The sequence below is a fragment of the Homo sapiens genome, chromosome 14, assembly GCF_000001405.40.
Source record: "Homo sapiens chromosome 14, GRCh38.p14 Primary Assembly".
Lineage (NCBI taxonomy): Eukaryota > Metazoa > Chordata > Mammalia > Primates > Hominidae > Homo > Homo sapiens.
Genome location: NC_000014.9, coordinates 89,938,749 through 89,960,978, shown reverse-complemented (window position 1 = coordinate 89,960,978; position 22,230 = coordinate 89,938,749). Strand labels below are relative to the sequence as shown.

At 41.4% G+C, this 22,230-nt stretch overlaps 2 protein-coding genes across 27 annotated transcripts in view, besides 3 other annotated features; one reads left to right on the top strand and one right to left on the bottom strand.

Annotated features, from left to right (window-relative positions):
- Window positions 1-6,011, bottom strand: part of TDP1 (tyrosyl-DNA phosphodiesterase 1) — an 89,797-nt gene extending 83,786 nt beyond the window's left edge. For 5 of the 22 annotated variants that reach the window (XR_007064032.1, XR_007064034.1, XR_007064035.1 and 2 more), the window contains exon 1: window positions 4,179-5,052. The gene's annotated coding sequence lies outside the window, so the exon portion shown is untranslated. Of the gene's footprint in view, window positions 1-972; window positions 1,201-2,581; window positions 5,053-5,301 lie in introns of those variants that run through there. The other 17 variants (NM_001008744.2, XM_017021440.3, XM_047431579.1 and 14 more) reach the window with 11 other exon arrangements.
- Window positions 2,486-2,994: an enhancer, noted in NCBI's record as "H3K4me1 hESC enhancer chr14:90424329-90424837 (GRCh37/hg19 assembly coordinates)". NCBI's record gives its function as "activates a minimal SCP1, AML or CMV promoter by ChIP-STARR-seq in naive H9 embryonic stem cells {active_cell/tissue: H9 hESC(naive)}" and the evidence as "EXISTENCE:reporter gene assay evidence [ECO:0000049][PMID:30033119]".
- Window positions 4,725-4,954: a silencer, noted in NCBI's record as "silent region_6004". NCBI's record gives its function as "represses an Ori minimal core promoter by ATAC-STARR-seq in GM12878 lymphoblastoid cells {active_cell/tissue: GM12878}" and the evidence as "EXISTENCE:reporter gene assay evidence [ECO:0000049][PMID:35858748]".
- Window positions 6,020-6,520: an enhancer, noted in NCBI's record as "H3K27ac hESC enhancer chr14:90420803-90421303 (GRCh37/hg19 assembly coordinates)". NCBI's record gives its function as "activates a minimal SCP1, AML or CMV promoter by ChIP-STARR-seq in naive H9 embryonic stem cells {active_cell/tissue: H9 hESC(naive)}" and the evidence as "EXISTENCE:reporter gene assay evidence [ECO:0000049][PMID:30033119]".
- Window positions 6,202-22,230, top strand: part of EFCAB11 (EF-hand calcium binding domain 11) — a 160,109-nt gene continuing 144,080 nt past the window's right edge. For 2 of the 5 annotated variants that reach the window (NM_145231.4, NM_001284266.2), the window contains exons 1-3: window positions 6,249-6,393; window positions 6,978-7,073; window positions 10,837-10,882. In NM_145231.4, the coding sequence (NP_660274.1) occupies window positions 6,319-6,393; window positions 6,978-7,073; window positions 10,837-10,882 (217 nt within the window). In that variant the 5' untranslated portion in view covers window positions 6,249-6,318. The other 3 variants (NM_001284269.2, NM_001284268.2, NM_001284267.2) reach the window with 2 other exon arrangements.

The following is a 22,230-nucleotide window of genomic DNA, read 5'->3' as shown; positions in this document are numbered from 1 at the left end:
TTCCCAGCCTGTCAGGCCACACTGCAGGCTGTAGCCCTTTATAAGAACTAAGCTCTCCTTTCTAAATGTATAGATCTCATGATTTTTTCAGTGAACACAGCAGGGCGGGGCAGGGGAGGGTTGGAAATACTTTAAAGGTATCTATCCCTTTTCACAATTTCTCTCTTCACCTTTTTCAATTAACTACCAGTCAAGTTAAGCAAGCCTTCTGTAAATTACACATTTCAAGGAACTTTTATGCAAGAATGCATCAAGACAATAATCTGGCCCATTCTTCATGGCTCTGGGTCATTATTACCCTACCCAGCATGAACACACTATCTCACAGCCAAAGCCTTATTGACTGTAGAGAGGGCTGGGGCCACTTGCTCCTGTAATAGTGACCCTAGACTGTCTGGCTCTTTTGAGCCCTCATATCTGCTTTCTAAAAGTTTCTATTTATTTCTACACTCTGTCCAGCCCACTTCAAGGGGTTGTTAAAACTCATAGCATAGGTATATTTTCCCTAAATTGTTTCTAATCTGCTAAGGGTTAAGAAACTAGATAACTGGGTTTGTAGAACTGTATTGTCATGGTTAAAGGGGTCTGAGTGCCCAGTTTCCTCCATGAAAGAGATTCAGATTGATTTACTACTCAACACCTACTTAAGCAGCTCAGAGGTGGTTTTTTAAATGTTTTTAATCCTTCCGGTTTGAAAAAAAAACCCACAAAACCTTAGGTTCCTCTAGTGTTCTAGAGTCTAGAAGTTGCTGGATAGGGGTATTTAAGCTGTTACAATACACTTTGAAGAAACTATTTCAGTGGCTACAGTTTCGTGACTTTAAAGTTATCTAGGAACAAAAGAACCACCTTAGGAAAAACCACTCTCTGAATGTCAGCTCTAGGTTCCTTTGAATTCTACAACAGTTCTAAACCAAGGCGGTGAGTAATAGAATCTTCCATTACAGTCCTCAGGCTGTTCTCTATAGATACCTTGCCCATTCTAAAGTAAGTAGCAGGTCTTAGTTTTTGGTGAGAAAGGATTCAGCTTCCACTCTCAGAAGCAGTTGCAGAATCTTAAGAGGCTACCATAACAAATATGGTTGCCTGCATTATATAAATAAAATGGAATTTCCAAACACTGAGAATTCTGTGCTAAGTACATTATTATGTACTAAGAGTTGCTAAGGTAAAATCCTTAGCAACTCTGTGAATTATTTAGAGAATTTCAAAGGTTTTTAAGTTTTATCATTATCTCCATTTTCTAAAACCATATGGAAGTGGAATTCCCTCCAACAAAGTAGGACAAGAGGATAAAAAATAAAACAAAGCTTTAAAAAAGACATTTTCTAGAGAACAAAGCCTTTTTTTGGGGTTCTGCTCTATAAAGTTTTGGACCTGCTGAAACTCAAAAATATGCCTGAGTTGCTTATTACAACCTAATACAATTTATTGGGTTACAATTTAGTGCAACAGACTAATAAAATTGTGTCTTGTTGTTAAATGTAGCAGCTTACCAACCTCTTTATGACATCAAGGCTCCCGCCCAGTTGGAAAAGAACTGCTAGTAAACACCAATATCAAACTTTTACTTTGGATAACTGGTCACCAGTAACAGAATTTACTTCCCTCATAGAGGCTCTGGTGCCCAGCATTTCAGAGTGCTTTGTAATCAAGTCATACAGTTTTAAGAAATGTAGAACCTGAGAGCTTTCCTTCAATTGTTTATCATCTGTCTTCCCTGCCTGGGCAGTGCTTGGTACAGCATAAATCTGAAGTCACACTTTTTGTAAGTGGTACTGAAAGAATCAGAATACAATATAGCTGTGTTGATTCTGAATCCTGGCACTCAATCAGAACGGCACAGTGTTTCCTGAAGTGGAAGTGATTGGGACCTGACATTATGAAAGTACTTCCCTTTCCATTCCAATCCAAACTCCCTGTTTAAATCAAGAAGAAAGTTGTAGTGTTGTAGAAATGCTTTTAATCTTGATTTTGAACAAATAGCAGGGTTTGGGCTCTTCTGCAGGCACCAACAATTTTGTTTACCATCAACAGAAGGTATCTTATGGCTACGTTATATTTGAAATAGCAAAATAAAGTTTATTTTATGTAAAAGAATGATTGGATTCAAACAAAAATATTAAGTATATGATAGTCTATGTGATAGCGGCAGGAGGCAGACAAATCCCTAGGCAGATAGGGGCAGGGCCCCAGTGAAACCCCACCTGCAAACCAAAGACAGTTTAAAGCCTGAAAGCCAAGCTACAAGTGTTGGGTAAATCCACGGACCGGATTGATAACCCCTCTTCCCACTTGGCACACTTTCCTCTGATCAATCCCCACCCTTCACCTACTTTACATATATCTACCCTTCCCTAATTGGTTTTTTACATTGTCATGCCCACCTTTGAGTGGTGCCTTTGTTTTAGCCTTTTTTGCATACTCACAAACCATGGAGCACACACTCCCTCATTCTGAGCCCATAAAAGCCCCAGACTCAGTCACACCAGCGAACTGCCCACCTTGGGGTCAGGGCAGGGGCCATCCACTTGGGGTCCCGTCTCTGCTGAGAACTGTCTCATCACTGAGTAAAACTCACCTCCGCCCTTTTCCCCTTCGGTTGTCAGCCTAACCTCATTATTCTTGGACGCAGGACAAGAAATTCGGACCAGCTAAACAGCGAGTGCAAATAGAGCTATAACCCTGTAGCACTCCGTTCCGCTAGTGAAGCAATGGGAGAGGGAGCTGCTGGCTGCCACACACCCCCATTCATTGGGCTGCAGATGGTGGGACTAAAAGAGCTGTTAATACATCTCTATTTGCCTGGTGTCTCCAAGTGTTTGGGCACTACTGCATCCCCCTCGTCTGGACACCAGAATCTGCTACCAGAGTCACTTGCCATACACCCAGGCCATCCACAAGCCCTACATGGAGCCTGTGACTGGGCCAGCACTTGGAACAGCCAGCCGGGCCTCCAGGCTTGCTCACTCACTCACAAACCGACTCCTCGCGGGCTGAGCATGCAGTCATAGTGGCCACGGGATCTGGGCGGGGATGAAAGACAAATGCATTCTGCCAGGCTGAGTGGGCAGGGCACCTCCTGCAGCCAGCCCAGGGCTGGAGGTCTCCAGCTGGCAAAGCGGCCCTGAAATAAATCCTGTGTCATGTGTTAAGAGAATAAAGCAAACTGGGGAGAAGGCAGGTGAGTGTGAGTGAAATTTGGCAAACACTGCACTAACATGAAAAATCTAAGAAATCTTCCCACCAAATGCTAGCTCAGGACACTGTTAGCACTTTTATTAAGGACTTTAAAACATGTTGTGGATATAAAAGGGTACTCCATTTAGAGCTACTAGTGTTTCCTCACTCCCCACTATATGAGACCCAGCTGGGGCATTTCTCTTTCACCTCCAGCTGCTCCTTCTCATTGAGCTTAAAGACCATCAGCTGGGCCTGGAGGCCATGCTCCTCAATTGAGTTCCTGTGTGGCCAGTAATAGGCAAACATGGTCCCTTGTCTCAAACCCGGCCATGACTAGGGAGTAAATGTGCACTTGGGCAGGTTAGTTAACTGCTGAGCCTCAGTTTTTTAGTCTGTGAAATGGATATCATGCTTACCCCCTGGAGTTCATTCATTCAATAACTTACTGGGCAGCTATTATGTACCAAAAACTGGGAATGAGGCGTTAACAATATAGTTTCTACCCTAGCAGAGCTAATTTCAGGGCAGAAGAGACAGACCCACACATAAAAATTTTAATAGCCAAGATGAGTTAGACATTCATTACATTTTATAAGTATGAGACAGAAAAATAGGGGTGACCTTTGGAATATACTTAAAAAGTAACATATAAATGAGACCCAGAGGGCCAAAAGGAACCTGCTGTCTAAATGATGGGGTGAAGAGCATTCCCAAGTAGAGGGAACCCAGCCGGCAGAGGTGGGAAAGAGGTCATAAGAAAGGACTTAGGCAAGGCAGGCAGTGGTCCGAAGCGGGTGAGGGGAGAAGACTTGTTAAAGAAATTGGATTTTATGCAATGATCAATGGGACCCCACTGAGGGCTTTAAGAAGGGGAGTCCGATTTACATTTATTTTTTTGAGACAGAGTCTCGCTCTGCCGCTCAGGCTGGAGCGCAATGGCGCAATCTCGGCTCACTCCAACCTCTCTGCCTCCCAGGTTCAAGCAATTCTCCTACCTTAGCCTCCCGAGGAGCTAGGATTACAGGCATCCACCATCACGCTCGGCTAATTTTTCTATTTTTGTAGAGACGGGGTTTCACCATGTTGCCCGGGCTGATCTCAAACTCCTAACCTCAAGTGATTCAGCCGCCTCGGCCTCCCAAAGTGCTAGGATGACAGGCGTGAGTCACCGCGCCCGGCCTTCGATTTGCCTTTTTAATACAGCTGTGTGCTCCAACTCTGCGGAGAATGGGTTGAAGACAAAGGAAGTGAGAGGGCTCTTGCTGAAGGCGTTGGGGACGGAGCAGATTCAGAACGTGAGGAAGTGACGGCAGCAGCTGCTAACCTTACTGCGTGCTCATTTGGGGCCGGCCAGGCACGATTCGAAGCGCCTCACCAAGTGTAAACTCGCTTCACCCTCAGGACAACTCTATACTACGTACCGTGACCGTCCTCCTATACTGGGAAACCGAGCACAGAAAGCTTAAGCGCCTGGCACGTGGTGGGCGCTTTCCTACTCACTTTCTGGGACCACGCACCTGTAAGCTTAGGTCTGGGAATAAAAACCCGAGCAGGGGCCCCTAGCGCCGCGCCCCGGCAGGACACAGGTCTCCGCAGCGCCCGTGCGCGCCCCCTGAGGCGCTGTGATCGGAGGAAACCGAGGCCCCGGGGCCGAGGCGACCCTGCCCCATCTTCCCGGCCGCGCCGCTTCCTCGCGGTCCGCCTCCAGCCCTGCCGGACCCCAGCAGCCCGCGCACCGCGACTCGGCCAGGAGCAGGATCCCGGGCCCGACCGCAGCCCGCGAGAGACCGCACCGAGTCCGCGCCCACTGCCGCCCAACACGTACCTGAGGCGCACAGAACCAACGCTTGCCTCGGATCCCGCCCCTTCGGCGGCCGCCGCGCATGCGCGCAGTTCAAACCCTGGCGGCAGCGGCTTGTGCCTCGAGGCCCGGCCCCTTCCCCTTCCGGAGAGCCCACCGCTGGGTCCTAAAGCCCGCCGGGTGTTTACCCAGGACGGGGCTGGGGAAACCTGGTCTCTCCTAGCTCTTGGCTTACTTCCTGGAGACTTCTTAAAACGAGAGGAGAACCAGAAAGGCGTCCCCTAACTTCGCTCTAGTTAACTAATAGCAAGACTCACCCTCTTTACAGGATTCTCATGGCTCAGGCTCCCAGGGCTCCATGCAGCGGCGTTTGGTTTAAAGTGGAGAGAGGATACGCTTAGGTTAAAGGCAGCTGCAAGGAGACCTGTGTCCTGGGAGGGGCTGGGTGCAGACTTTGAAATCTGCTGCAAAATAAAAAGTTAAATGAGTTCCCATTGGACTCAGAACCTCGAATGTCTGTTCCTTCTTCGCAACAGTTGCGTTCTCGTAAAATCTTCTGAGAAAAGGAACTCGCCCCACGTTCCTTGCCTTTAATAAGGATGTTTGCTGTGGGATTTGGGCTCGGTGCTGTTTATGGTATTTATTCTTGGAATCTCTTTCACACTAGGCATCTCTTCCAGAGGACTGAGTGAAATACATCTGTGTAAATATAACGGCTCGTTTCGTTCTTTCATTGAAGATCTACTTTGTGCCAGGCACAGTGCTAGGTGCTGGGATTATCTTGAGGACATAACAGATGTAGTAGCTGCCCTAGGAGCTCGATCCCAATGACTTGCTGATCTGAACGAGAATCCTGGACTTGGCTCTTTTCGTTTGGTTCTTCTTGTTTGTTCACAGTCTTTTTGTCTCCTATAACGTTTAGCATAGTGTCATAGATCTAAATGATTAAAAGTAACCTATTGCAAGATGGAGGGAGAGAATGAAATAAATCATGAACCAGGCATTGAACCAGCACCTAGAAGCGCTTGGATTTCCAGCCGCGCTCAACGAGTTAAGGGACAGTCAGGGGGTGGAGCCAAGTGCTGGGGGCAGGCCTGGGCGCCTCACTGCCAGGGCGGCTCCAAGGAAACGTAATTAAACAAAGACTCTGGCCAATAGCCCTGCGGGATTAACGCGAGTGGCTGGCAGGTTGTCCAATGGGAGGAGACGTCGGAGTTGCGCGGTGAAGTTCGGCTTCCTGAGCCGCGGTGGGCGTGGCCGCGGTAGGCTGCCAGCCAGGCTGGGAAAGCGGTGGTAGCTGGTTGGGTTGCTGGGGCTCGGTTGTTGTAGTCGCGATGTTCTTCTCCGAGGCCAGAGCCAGGTCGCGGACGTGGGAAGCCAGTCCCTCGGAACACAGGAAGTGGGTGGAAGTAGGTTTCCGGAGGGCGACTGAGCCTCGGACTTCAGCTTGGCCTGGGCCTCTCGCTTCCTCTCCCGTGTCTGGGTCTCACTCTGCCGGGTGTGCAGATAAGACCTGGGCTGCCTGTCCAAAGGGTCGTGGTTAATGACTGATCCTGGAGCTGCAGGGCTCCTGGCTCCCCGTCCAGGACTACGGCTACCTCCAAGTTCCATCTCCTTTCTCTCTATATAGTCTATTAATGGTAACCTTGAGTCTGCATCTCTCCCGCCTTTCAAAGCCAGCCCCTTTGCCTCACCTTCCTAACTCCAGGACTGAATTTTGGGTAGAATTTATCTCAGTGGCCTAAATGAATTAATTTGCGTCACCTAGCGGTTAACTCGTTTGCACTTTGAGGGAAATTTCAGCCCATGTTTAAGAAAATTTCAGTCCATCTTTAAGATTTCTTGAGAATTAATATTGGGATAATGAAATTCTATTTTCATACTCTACCGCTGGGCCAAGTTTTAGATTTTCGAGGTCCAAACTGTATAATAAACTAGTAATAAAAATAAACCATTTCTGTCTCATTAACTAAAGCTATTTAATGTTCTTCAGGTATTTAAAGCATGTGATGAAGATCACAAAGGATATCTCAGCAGAGAGGACTTTAAAACTGCTGTTGTAATGCTGTTTGGGTACAAGCCCTCCAAGGTAGAGCTTTCTTATATATTTGGGGATGGGGTAGACGATCAAAGGTGAATGGATCCTAAGAAAAGTTCACAGGGCTAGCTTAGGATGTTTATAAATTGCTTTATAAGCAATTTCAGAGATGTGTCCAGTGCTGAATTTTAGCTTCCTCTTAACACCTCAGCCCAGAGATGAAGTAGAAATCTTTTCCACTGGAGTCTACACAAGCCTATCTCACCACCAGGCTGCTAATAACTACTATAAATACAAGATGCTAGAGAGGTGCCAAGAGGGAAGACTGAGAGGGGAGTGTTGGTAACAGGAGAAATTTACATAGGACATGACATAGTCTCTTTCTCGTTTTACTTTTGTTGCTTTGTTTATAAAATACATCCACGGTCAAAAAATTAAAACAGTGCAGAAAGGTATAAAGTTGAGCATAAAATCCGCTCGCCGCCTACCAGAGGGTCCCACTCCTAGGGGATTACCATTAACAGTTTTTTTGTGTAATTCTGAAATTTTCTATCCATGACATACATATGCATAGTCTTTTATTGAAAACATAAATGGGTAAATATTGTGCCTACTTTAACTTGCTTTTCTCATTTAACAATATATCAACCTAAAAGCACACACCACTACTGCATTTTAAAATATGGTTGCATATTCTTTTTAGCCAGGTTCCTGTCTGGGGTTATATAGGTGGGGTTTTTTTTTTTTTTCTGCCAACATTGCTGCAATGATACACACATTTATGTCCTTGTGGCTGTATATCTGTGGAATAAGTTCCTAGAAGTATAACTGCTAGGTCATGGAATATGTACGTTTAAAATTTTGTTAGATATTTGCTCTCCAGAAAAGATTGCACCAATTCACCAATAATGAGAGTTGAGCTGAGCCTCCATGAACCTCCTGCTTGAGTAGGGCAAGTTTCCTGCTCACCCCTGTCTTTATGCTTTTCTGCTTTCCTGTTACATTCATTCGAGAGACAACACCCTTCTTGTTAAGCTGGAATTAGTCAGAGTCAAGATATTGTCCAGATTCAAGAAATTGAGCTGCCACCATCAAGCAAAGGAAGCACTCAGAGCTCAGCCTGGAATGCCATCCCTCACTCTCATTAGACCAGACAGCTTGGCAGTTAATTAGGGCCCAGCTGTTCTCCTCATGAGTGGACTGTGCCTTTCTGTCAGATTGAAAGCCCAGCAAAGCCAGGGACCCTGTGATGTCATGCCTCTCCGCCCTATTTGTGTCAACAGAACATACTTACTGTGAAGTTGTGATGCACAATAAGTATTAATATATTCTCTTGACCCAAGTAGGTTGCATGAACAGCTCAGGTGGGTTCAGAGTGGCTCAGCTATGAGGGGCTGCCTAGTTACTGAGAAGCTTATTATGGAGCTCAGAGAAGTAGTCAGGGCTGACTCTTAGAAATGGCAGCTCTCCTGTTTACCTGTAATCATTTCAGTTGGAATTACAAAGCAGGTCAGCTGAAAAGAGTCAGCCTGTGAAGCATTGTATTTAACTTGGATTCACCTGGAAAGGTATCTTGTCTCATTTTTGCCTTTATCACCCTTGAGTCTATTTGGTTTCAATTTTAGAATGAGGAATTTAATGACAGATACAGTGATGTAACATACTGTACATACACTCCATGAAATTTAACAGATTTTACTTTTCATATTGAGGTGAGGTTTTCTATTTTATTTTTTAAGCAAATGAACTATTTAGTAACCGCAGGTCACTAAACGGTATTTACTAATAGCATGTCACCTATAAACTTAGTCATTTGTACAATGAACTTTTATTATGCAGGTGACACTTAATTTCTGTGAAATTCAACAGATTTTTTTAGACTAGGTTGAGGTTTGGGGTTTAATTTTTTAATATTGCTTTTGAGCAAATGAAATATTCACTGACTGCAGGTCATGAAGCAATAAAATACTTATATAATAAATCACTTATACATTCATGCAGTTTTTTACATAATTAAGTTTATTTATTTGTTGAGATGCAGTCTTGCTCTGTCACCCAGGCTAGAGTGTAGTGGCGTGATCTAGGCTCACTGCAACCTCCACTTTCCAGGTTCAAGCAATTCTCCTGCCTCATCCTCTTGAGTAGCTGGGACTACAGGTGCACACGACCATACCCGGTTCTTTTTTTTCTTTTTTTTTTTTTGTGTTTTTAGTAGAGATGGGGTTTCACCAATGTTGGCCAGTCTGGTCTCCAACTCCTGACCTCAAGTGATCCGCCCACCTCAGCCTCCCAAAGTGCTGGGATTACAGGCATAAGCTACTGTGCCCACCCATACACAATGAAATTTATTGTTTCTATTTAATAAAAGGAGTACTTGCTAGTTGCTAGTGATATAAAGATGAATGAAACACAGTCTCTACTTCGAAGCAGTTCAGAGTTTAATATAGAAAGACATAAAACTGTGATAGATACCAAGAAAGAGAAGAGATTGAAAAACAAAGTGAAGGGAGCAAAGAAGGAAGGCCTAATTCTAGTGGTAACTATAACAGTCTGGGTGGTCATTTAGACTAGAGAAGATAGACTACTCTGATAAGTATCTAGGAACACTTTGTGGGTGGTGGGACAAGTTAGGCCCTGATGACTGATTGGATGTGGTGGTGGTAAGAGTGACATGACCACTGGGACTGAAGGGATAGCAATGCCACCAATTAAGAGAAAATTTAAGAGTAGGTTCAGAGGAAGTCAGTGAGTTTCGATTGGAACACATTGAGTTTGAGGCAGCTATGAGCATTCCAGGTGCATTCACTCGTTAAATAATATGCTGGCTATTGAGGTTATGGTGGTGAAAATCCACCGTTAGATTTTACTGCTTCCCTGAGATGTAGCAATCTGAAATTGGGTGGAGGGGATAGGGCTGGAGATAGACTTGGGGCTCCTTGGTTTCCATGTGGTTGCTCAAAACACGAGGCTGGATGGCATTGCCCAGGAAGAGTATGCAGAATAGGAAGAGCCATGGTCTGAGGATAGAACGTTAGGGAATACAAGCATTTAAGGGTAGGAGGGGACTTGAAGAAGTGGGAGTGGGAACCATTTGGCAGGAACAAGAGGAACCAGGAAAATGCAGGAAATACTGGGAAGGGTTCGAGACCAGAAGTGGAGAAATTATGTCAGATGCTGCGAAGGCTCTAATACTATAACGTTTATAAAGCCCTTGTAACAGTGTGGTAAAGGGCTTATATTTTAACATTTAGTGAAAGCAGGTCCTCATATTTTCTATACAGTAAAGTCTCAAATGTTTAAAGATGCATAGGGGAAAAAAGCTGATTAGTCTAAAATGATAACAATGATTTTCATTGGATGGCTGATTTTTTAATTTTCTTCATAATTTTTTGTATTTTTCATGCTTTCTACATCAATCATGTGATACTTTTATAATTAGGAAAAAAATCTTAAAAATAGAGCCATAGAGCCCATTATAACAGTTGTATTTGTCTAAAGTAGAAAGGCTGCCTGCCTGTTAGATTATATTATATATGGGACAGCCAAATTGATTTTCTGTTCTTAAACTGTTTTGGTCAATGGAATAAAGTTTTGGGGGCTATTAGGGACTAGCAGATTAGTGTCTGCTATTTTATAGATGTTGATGGAAAAATAAAATGACTATTATAGCTATTGTGTATCATTACTTGTCTGCTTGGTTCAACAGACTTGGTTTCTCATAAAATAGATCCTTATTCCCACCTGAAGAATTAAGAACTTGCACTGTGAAAACGTGATAAAATTACATGTTCTATTATTTTTTCCTCTTTTCTAGATAGAAGTGGATTCTGTGATGTCTTCAATAAATCCAAATACTTCTGGTAATATGAAAGTTAATATTAATTTTTAGTACCTTATTTAGACACTGAGATGGCTTGGCTGTGTCCCTACATCAGTCTCATCTCAAATTCCTATGTGTTGTGGAAGGGACCTGGTGGAAGGTAACTGAATCATGGGGGCGGGTTTTTCGCATGTTGTTCTCATGATACTGGATAAGTCTCATGAGATCTGATGGCTTTATAAGGGGGGGCTTCCCTGCACAAGCTCTCTCTTTGCCTGCTGCCATCCATGTAAGACGTGACTTGCTCCTCTTTGCCTTCTGCCATGATTGTGAGGTTTCTCCAGCCACGTGGAAATGTAAGTCCATTAAACTTCTTTCTTTTCTAAGTTGCCCAGCCTTGGGTATGTCTTTATCAGTAGCATGAAAACAGACTAACAACACTCACAAAATGAAAATTAAAAACAGAAACTAGGCTGGGTGCAGTGGCTCATGCCTGTAGTCCCAGCACTTTGGGAAGCCAAGGCAGGTGGATCGTCTGAGGTCAGGAGTTTGAGACCAGCCTGGCAAAGATGATGAAACACCGTCTCTACTAAAAATACAAAAAATTAGCTGGGCGTGGTGGCAGGCACCTATAATCCCAGCTACTCTGGAGACTGATGCAGGAGAATTGCTTGAACTGAGGAGGTAGAGATTGCAATGAGCTGAGATTGAGCCATTGCACTCCAGCCTGGGCGACAAGAGTGAAACTCTGTCTCCAAATAAATAAATAAATAAAAACTATATAGCATTATATTTAAGCACATCTTTATTTTGTTTCCCGTTGTCCAAAAGAAAGGTTTTGGTGGTTTTTATTTTTTTTTAATTTTTAATTTTTGTAGGTGTATATATAGAGAGGTGGTACATGAGATGTTTTGATGTAGGCATGTAATGTGTAATAGTCACATCATGGGAAATGGGATAATTATCTCCTCGAGCATTAATCCTTTGTGTTACAAACAGTCCAGTTACACTCTTAGTTATTTTAAAATGTTTATCATTTTGACTCTAGTCACCCTATTGTGCTATCAAATACTAGGTATTAATAGTCACATCATGGAGAATGGGGTATCCATGCTATGAAGCATTTATCTTTCATGTTACCAAGAATCCAATTATACTCTTTTGGTTATTTTTTAATGTACAATTAAGTTGTTATTGACTATAGTTACCATTCTGTACTATCAAATACTAGGTCTTACTCTATTTTTTTTTTTTTGTATCCATTAACCATCCATAACTCTCCCCAACATCCTCACTATCCTTCCCAGCCTCTGGTAACCATCCTTCTACTTTCTATGTCCATGAATTAAATTGTCTTGATTTTTAGATCCCATAAGTGAGAACATGCAGTGTTTGACTTTCTGTGCCTTATTTGACTTAACATAGTGACCTCCCATTTTCATCTGTGTTGTTGCAAATGACAGGATCTCATTCTTTTTTATTGCTGAATAGTACTCCACTGTGTATGTGTACCACATTTTCTTTATCCATTCATCTGTTGATGGACACTGAGTCTTCTTCCAAATCTTGCCTATTGTGAACAATGCTGCAACAAACAGTATATGAGAATGCAGATATCTTCCATATGTTGATTTCCTTTCTTTTGGGTATATACCCAGCAGTGGGATTGCTGGATCATATGGTAGCTTTATTTTTAGTTTTTTGAGGAACCTCCAAATGGTTCTCCATAGTGATTGTACTAATTTACATGCCTACCAGCAGTTTAATAAGAGCTCCCTTTTCTCCATATCCTTGCCAGCGTTTGTTATTACCTGTCTTTTGGATAAAAGCCATTTTAACTGTGGTGAGATGATATTATTGTAGTTTTGATGGCATTTCTCTGATCAATGATATTGAGTACCTTTTCACATATGCCTGTTTGCCATTTGTATGTGTTCTTTTGAGGTTCTTTTAATTTTGATTATTTATAAATATGTTTATCACAGGGAAATTTTAAACTGTTGAAGTGCATAAAGAAAAAATATCATTCATAATTTTAACATTCAAAAAATGATACTAGGTTTTCTGACTTGTGCAGCTGGATGAATGGACATGGCACCTACTGAAAAGAGAAGATGGCAGACGGGTGGGGCGGTGGGGTGGGAGCAGGGGGCAGGCAATACCTGGGGGTGAGGGAGACTAAGAGCTCAATTTTGAGTATGTTTGAGAAGTGTTAGTTTACTATGTCAAAGCAGTCAGATTGGATGAATTTCAGAAGTAAGTTCTGGGCTGAAGAAATTGGGAGTCATCAACCTGTAGACAGATTTTAAAATCATGAGAATGAATGAGACCACCTAGAGAGATAGAGTGGACTGAGAATGTTAAGAACTCTAGCCAGTAGAAGTCAGGTGGAAGATGAAGAAATGGCAAAGGAGACTTAGGAGTGACAGAGGGGCAAGAGGAAAATCAAGAGTGTTTGATCAAAAGCCAAGAGAAGTAGATATTTTAATGAGGAAGGTGTGGTCAGCACTATCAAATGCTCCTGAAAGGTGAGGTGGCATAACTGATGAGTATCCTTTGGAGTTGGCCACCTGGAGGTGTTTGATGACTTTAGCAAGAGGCATTTCAAAGTGTGGTGAGGGCAGAGTGGGTTGAAGATAAGTGGAAAGTGATGATGAAGTGTGACAATGTGAGTAGATGAGTCTTTTGTTAAGTCCAGAGTGGCAATAGATCAAGAGATGTTTTGTTTGCTTCTTCTTGTTTCTATTTAAATGGAAGAACATGTTTCCAAGCTTAGCAGAATGATCTAGTGAAGAGGAGGAAGGAAGATGAGAGAGAGGGAGGGAAGGAGACCTATTGTGTAAGGGGATAGGATCCAGAGCATGTTAGATTGGCTTTTTAAATATTACCTTTTTTTGAATAATTTAAAACTTCCAAAAAGTTCAAAATAAAACAGTACAGAGAATAGCTTACTCTCTGTGTAAGGTATACCTTTTACCCAGATTGACATTGTTAACATTTTACACCATCTTCCTTCTCCTTTGCACTTTCTACCACTATCCCCTTCTCTTCTGTAATGAATATAACCAAAATATGCTTATCATATTCATAAATATATGTTGATACTGTTTTATCTGATTTATCATCTATATTTTGTCAGTTGATCTAATAACATCCTTAATAGTATCTTTCCTTTTTTAGTATGTTAAAAAATCATAAGTGTATCTAGGGAAAAAAAAGACACATATGAATAGGAACAAAGATAAAAATGACAGCAGTTGGCTGGGAGTGGTGACTCACACCTGTAATCCAAGCACTTTGGGAGGCCAAGGCAGGAGGATTGCTTGATGCCAGGAGTTCAAGACCAGTCTGGTCAACATAGTATGAGACTCTGAATCGACAAAAAAGCAAAAAAAAAAAAAAAGCCAGGCATGATGGCACGTGCCTGTAATCTTAGCTACCTGGGAGGCTGAGGCAGGATCCCTTGAGCCCAGGAGTTTGAGGTTGCACTTAGCCATTATCATACCACAGCACCCCAGCCTGGGCGACAGAGTGAGACCTCATCTCTTAAAAAACTTAATTAATTCAACAGAAGGAAGAAAATGGGAACAAAAAATAGATGGAAATAGACAAGTAGAAAAATAATATGGTAGATTTAAATCCAATCATTAATGTTTTAGTTAGATGTAAATGATCTCAACAGCCCCATTGAAAGGGAGATACTGTTAAATTAGATAAAAGAGTACCAACTAACTCTGTGTTGCCTAGAAGCCCACTTTAAACATAAGGGCAAAAAAGATTAGAAATATATACTGTACTGAACACTAACCAAAAGTATGCCAAAGTGAGCATGTTAATATCAGATGAAGTAGACTTCAGAAGAAGAAATATTACCAGGGATAAGGAGAGCCAGTTCATTAAGGGAATTAAACATTTATGCCCCTGGCCAGGTGCCATGACTCAAGCCTGTAATCCCAGCACTTTGAGAGGCCAACGCAGACGAATCACTTGAGGCCAGGAGTTTGAGACCAACCATGATGAAACCCCGTCTTTACGAAAAAATACAAAAAAATTAGCTGGACATGGTGGTGCATGCCTGTAATCCCAGCTACTCGGGGGGCTGAGGCACGAGAATCATTTGAGCCCAGGAGGTGGAGGTTGCAGTGAGCCCAGATTGCATCACGGCACTCCAGCCTGGGTGACAGAGCAAGACTCTGTCTCAAAAAAAAAAATAAAAAAAAAAAATCCCCTAATAATGGAAATTCAAAATACATGAAGCAAAAAACTAATAAAACTGTAAAGAAAAATGGACAAATCCATAATGATGGTAGGAGGTTGCAACACCCCTATCAATAATTAAGCAAGTAGACATAAAATCAATAAGGATATAGGAGACGTGAACAGCACTGTCAACCAGTGTGACCTAATTGTAATCTATAGAATGTTCTACCCAACAAAAGCAGAATACACATTCTTTTCAAGTCTACACAGTATATTTAATAAAATTGGTCATACTCTGGGCCATTAAACATGTCAATACATTTAAAGTACAAAGTATGTTCTTTGTGATGGAACGACATTAGAAATCAATAGCAAAGCTGTCTGGAAAAGTTGCAAATAGTTGTTCCAAGTAAAAGTTTAAAAGTTCCAAACAAATAGCACACTTCTAAATAACTCATAGGTCAAAGAAAAAATCAAAAGGGAAAAATTAGGAAGTATTTTGAATTGAATGAAAAGACCACATTTCAAATTTTGTAGGATGGATTGAAAGCAATACTTGGAAAGTGGTAGCACTAACTTTCTATGTTTAGGAAAGAATAAAGGTGTCAAACTGATGACCTCAGCTTCTACCTTTAATTATCTTCTACCTTTAACTACAAAAAAGAGTAAATAAGGCCCGAAATAAGTGGAGGAAAGGAAATAGTAAAGATTGGAATGGAAATTGTTGAAATTGAAAAGAGGACAAACAAGAAAAAATTAAAAGCTGATTTTGTTGAGGTAATCAATAAAAATGAGAAACTACTACCCACACTGAGTGGGGGGGGAAAAGAGAGCAGGGATTACTAACATTTAGATTTAAAATCTAATATTTTATTAGATTTATTATTAGATCTAATAAAATCTAATATTTTATTAGATTTATTATTAGATCTAATAAAATCTAATATTTTATTAGATTTATTATTAGATCTAATAAAATCTAATATTTTATTAGATTTATTATTAGATCTAATAAAATCTAATATTTTATTAGATTTATTATTAGATCTAATAAAATCTAATATTTTATTAGATTTATTAATATTGTATTAAAATCTAATACACTTTATGTACAAGGTTTAGAATCACATTTAAAATAAGACTTTCAGGATTATTGCTAGGAGAACATGTTCTTGATATAATCGCTAACTTGATAGAATTGCTCCAGGTTTTAAATTTCTTGTTGAAAATTTTCACTTTCAAAATATTCAGAATAATGTTTGATGTTCCATTAGTTACAACTTCTTGATAAAGCCTTTTCTACATTTTTTTCATTAGGGTTTTTTGTGAATATTCCAATCTACAGAGAGTTTTGTTTTCTGGCAAAAGGATTTCCCACATTCTTTGCATTGATAGGATTTCTCTTTCTTAAGAGTTCCCTGATATTCAGTGAGTTATTCTTTCTGGATGAAGATCTTACCCTAGTCATAATATCGTGTTTCTCTATTATGTTACTGATATGGATTGGCTGTGTCCCCACCCAAATCTCATTTTGTAACTCCCATAATTCCCACGTGTTGTGGGAGGGACCCAGTGGGAGATAATTGAATAATGGGGGCAGGTCTTTCCCAGGCTGTTCTTGTGATAGTGAATAAGTCTCACGAGATTTGATGGTTTTAAAAAGAGAAGTTCCCCAGCACAAGCTCTCTCTTGTCTGCTGTCATTCATGTAAGACATGACTTGCTCCTCTTTGCCTTCCGCTATGATCGTGGGGGCTCCCCAGCCGTGTGGAACTGTAAGTCCATTAAACCTCTTTCTTTTGTAAATCGTCCAGTCTCATCTTTATCAGCAGCATGAGAAAAGATTAATACAGTGGCTTTTCTGATACATCAAGTGTGACTATTGCTGAAGGCATTTTAACATTCATTATTCTCATAGACTTTCTTTCTTCTGTATGTTCTCTGATTTTGAATTAAGGATTTGACTTCACACTGAATGTTTTCTTTCCTTAACTAGTTCTCTAATGTGCAGAGAGGTATGGATTCTGGAAGAAAGAATACAGTCCCCACCTGTATTCTCCCAGCTGTACTCTAGTGTGAGTGTGTATGTATGTGTGTGTGTGTGTGTGTTTATTTGGAGAAACTCAAGACCACAAACATTCAAGAAAAGGAGTAAAATAGCCTAGCAAGAAATCACTGCTGTACTCTGATTGCTGCTAACATGCAATTTTTCTATTAGAATTGTTCAATACTGAACCAATTTCAAACCATCCACTTTTTCTTCTTTCCCTCTTATTGATACGAGTCAATTTTACATGCTATTTCTCTTGAAGGAAGAGAGCACATGTGCAGATTAAATGTTTTTCCACATATATTATCTCTCTTCTTAATGTTTGGATCTTGAAGAACTGAAATTGGCGGGGTGTGGTAGCTCACGCCTGTAGTCCCATGCAATTTGGGAGGCCAAGGTGGGTGGATCACTTGAGCCCAGGAGTTTGAGACCAGCGAGAGCAACATGGCGAAACCCCATCTCTACAAAAAATACAAAAATGAGCCAGGCCTGATGGTACATGCCAGTCCCAGCTACTCAGGGGGCTGAGGTAGAGGATTGCTTGAGCCCAGGAGGTTGAGACTGCTGTGAGCCATGATCACGCCACTGCACGCCAGCCTAGGTGACAGAGCGAGACCCTGTTTCAAAAAAAAAAAAAAAACAGGTCTGAAATGCTGGCCTTGGCCTCCTGGGAACTATTTATTCAGGTAATCAACTTTCCAAAGTTGTTCTGTATAATACAGCTGTGACTTGGGAATTCTCTGCTATCCATTGTTCTTCTTACTTCGGAACAGGGCTCTAACACACCATCCACAGGATTCTTTTGCAGGGCCCAGTTGCTGCCCAGCTTGCAGGGCAAGGTCAGACTCACATTCTAGGTTGGCCCAGACTCAGCTGCTTTTAGGAAGGGCCAGAGTCCGGAAGCTAGACACCCTGCACTTTGGGTTCGGGATTATACCTAAACCTGGATGCCCAGGCCCTGCTTCCCAAGGGCTTCGAATCCTCTTGAAAAGTAGGTCATTTCAATAGAGATTTCCTCGTGAAAATTAAGAAGAGTGAAAAGTTAAGTCAAAGCTAGTAGAAATAAGAGTAAAGTATCTGGAAGAAGTGTACATGCTGGGAGAATTTGAGGGCAGCCAGGGTGAGTAGCAGAAAGGTGCTAATGATGTTTTTATTGCCTGTAACCTAACAAGCAAGTGAATATAAGCAAAAACTGTTGTGGCTGCTTGAAACAAGGAAATATATGAGTGGGAGAAAAAAATCAAGCCATTAGTTAAAGGAAGCGGCAGATCACAGTTGAGGTTGGTTCTGATTTATAGTCTTGCTACCTCTTTCAGAGGGTTTCATTATAACCCTCATTCTCTGTGATGCACTTCATAACTTTTCCAAGTGTATAGAATGAAGAAGCTTGCAACTAGAAGAGACCTGGAAAACAGTCATCTGTCCTTATTTTAAAATGAGGAACCTAGGCTTCAGAGAAGAATCACAAAATGATATAGAGGAATAATAAAATAATAAATACTTGGCAAAATCCTTTTACAGTATTTATTATTATTATAGATAATTGCAGCAATCATTTCCTGAACAGTTATCATGCAGATCTGTGATGAGCACATTCATCTGTGATGATTGTTATATTTAATGTAACTATGATATTATGATTATCCTCTGTATTAGTCCATTTTCACACTGCTATAAAGAACTACCTGAGACTGAGTAATTTATAAAGAGGTTTAATTGACTCACAGTTCCACAGACTTAACAGGAAGCATGACTGGGGAGGCCTCAGGAAACTTAGAATCATGGCAGAAGGCAAAGGTGAAGCAAAGACCTTCTTCCCATGGTGGCAGGAGAGAGAGAGAGTGAACGGGGAATTGACACACTCTTTCAAACAACCAGATCTGGTGAGAACAACAAGGGGGAAGTCAGCCCTCATGATTCAGTCACCTCCCACCAGGCCCCTGCCCTGACAGGGATTACAATTCGAGATGAGATTTGGGTAGGGTAAGGACACAGAGCCAAACCATATTATCCTCATTATATTTTATTTATCATTTTAGATGATTATTTTTGAGACAGGGTCTCTAACTCCTGGGCTCAAGTGATCCTCCCACCTTAGCCTCCCAAAGTGCTGGGATTACAGGCATGAGCCACTGTGCCTGGCTATCCCCATTTTAGAAGTTAAAAAACTCTGGCCATTCATGGCGGTATGCACCTATATTCCCAGCTACTTGGGAGGCTGAGGTGGGAAGATCACTTGAGTCCAGGAGTTTGAGACCAGCCTGGGCAACAGAGCAAGACCATATCTCTGAAAAAAAAAAAAAGTACTAAAAAGTTTAAAAATAAAAAATAAATAAATCCAGAAGCCTAGCAAGATTAAATAATTTGCCCAGAGTGGCACCGGTAGCTAGTAAGTACCAGACCAACGTGATCCGACCTTCTAGCTCACCCTCTTAACCAATTGATGAGCCCTTCCTTTGATTTTTAATAGTGCCATGGGTCATACTCCTAATTGTGACAAAATCGAGGCCAGTATTCATTCCCCTAAGGAACTTTATGAATCAATGAGTTGAAGTCAGGAGTAGAATCAATACACGAAAAACAAATCACCATGTTCTCTATAGTTGTTAGGCATTAATTTCAAATTTGGTTCTGGACTACCTAGCATCCAGAACAAATAGGAAAACACGAGCAAGCACAGCTGCAGTCAGGGTCCATGCAACAAAACAATTTTTCTAGAGAGGCATAAGTCCTCCTGCCCTGGGATAGTTCTTCTGTGATGTCTCATGGAGGGGAGGCTGCTGAGTGGATGTCAGTGTCGATGAGCTGTTCAATAAATGCAGTAGTGAATTTTGTAAGGCTGTTGCTTCATCTTTTCTCAATGTAGACCAGTGTTTAATGTCAGGGCAATTCTATGAAGGGCAAAGGCTGTGTGTTCCAAGTATACATATCTCAGGTGGTCTGACTTTATTCCAGAATAAATTGTAGATCATTCTATATAAATAACAACAGCTAAGATTTACAGGGCTTTTCTTTATGCTAAAAGCTATAAATAAGAACTGAATGAGCATTGTCCCACTGAATCCTCATACATTTGTCTCTTTGTTATTATCTCGGATCTATGTAAAATATGCCTAAGATTAAAAACCAGAAAAAAGGACTTCAGAATTTTGTTTTCACTAGGCGATTAGATTGAGCATCTTTTCTGTTTCCTTATACTATTGCCATTTTAAATTAATGAACATATTCTACTTTGATACTTGAAAAAGCTTTCCAGGAACTTACTTTTAACCCTCAACTTTGAATGATGGAAAAATCAAAGCGATTGATTCATCATAGCAGTAATTATGGACTGTGTGACTGCTATCCAGTGTAAGGTCCAATTGAAAAATAATTTGTGGATGAGTAGGTTAATGGTCAGTTGGCTTGCATGCTTTTATTTATTAATATCTTGTCTGGCTTGTTCTAAACAAGACAGTTGACTATTAAAGGTATTATTTTTCTAAATTTAAATATCCTTTTTCTGGTCTTAGTTTCTGTCATAAAACACCTGCTGTTGTGTATGGTTTTTTATTTTGGCTCCTATGGAACAAAGATCAGGGTATAGCAGGGATGAAGGTTTTGGTTGATTTCAGATTTCAATTGGCTTCTTAGTTCTTTTCTATAATCAGGAAACTGCATACACATTAAGGTTACCTTATTTTGAAATTATAATCGTAGCATTTTATGGAATCTCCTACAGATATTCACCCATCCATGTTTATTTAATTACCCATTTAGAAAACAGTGAATATGTTTCACTATACAGATGGGGAAGAATTAGGAGACACAGACACTGACCTAAAGACATTTAAAAATATATATTTTATGTGGGCTGGGCACGGTGGCTCACGCCTGTAATCCCAGCACTTTGGGAGGCCGAGGAAGGTGGATCACGAGGTCAGGAGTTCAAGACCAGCCTGGCCAACATGGTGAAACACTGTCTCTATTAAAAATACAAAAATTAGCTGGGCGTGGTGGTGGGTGCCTGTAATTGCAGCTACTCCAGAGGCTGAGGCAGGAGAATTGCTTGAACCTGGGAAGCGGAGGTTGCAGTGAGCTGAGATCCCGCCACTGCACTCCAGCCTGGGCGATAGAGCAAGACTCCATCAAAAAATGTGTATATATCTTATGTGATAGGGAAGATGAAAGAAATATTGCCACTTCTTTTACGGCCAGATGTTATATTACTATTATAGGCAAGAAAACCTATAAGAGTTCAGGAGGGCAGCACTGCCCCCTAGAGGAGGTGTGGGCCTGGAGCTGGACATGCTGAAGGATGGGTGGGATTTGAAATAGTGATGGAGCAAAGGAGAAAAGAGGCGGTAAATGAATGCAGGGCAGGTGCCAGCTGTGTGCCCCGCCTCCTGCTCCTGTTGCTGGTGCTGTGCTCTCTGTGTAGAGTTCTTCAGAGACCCTCTTCTGTGCTGTCCACGTCAGTGCCTGAAATCTTTTCTTCCTAGATCCCTGTTCTTTTACAAATCTCTCGCCCATCTCAGATTTGCATACCTAAATATATCAGCTATCATGCTGTTAATGCAGTCCTCCCATTAACAGAATCTACTCTTCTTGGATTTTTACTTTTTTTTTTTAACCTCTGCAACAGCAAGGAATATAGTATGTAACTATAAATGAATTGTGTCCAGCCGAGTCAGCTGGCATGATGAGAGCTGGGAAGGATTAAGGACCGGTGTGCACGGAAGGAAGGATGAAGCTTTAAAGTCCAGAATAAGGTATTAGGACTTTGTGGTGTTTGACACTGAGGAACCTTTTAAGCTTTATGAGCAGGAGATGTGTATAATAAAAAAGTAACAATTCCTGCCTGGGTTTGATAGAAATAAGATTTTATTGGTTCAGATTTCTCTATTCTACTGTAACTGGTTTTTTTTTTTTTTTTTGCTTTGTTGTTGTTGTTGTTGTTTTGTTTTTTGAAATGGAGTTTTGCTCTTGTTGCCCAGGCTGGAGTGCAGTGGCGCGGTCTTGGCTCACTGCAACCTCTGCCTCCCGGGTTCAAGCCTGGAGGTGAACATGTGATTCTTCTGCCTCAGCCTCCTGAGTAGCTGGGATTACAGGTGCGGCACCACCTCACCTGGCTAGTTTTTGTGTTTTTAGTAGAGACAA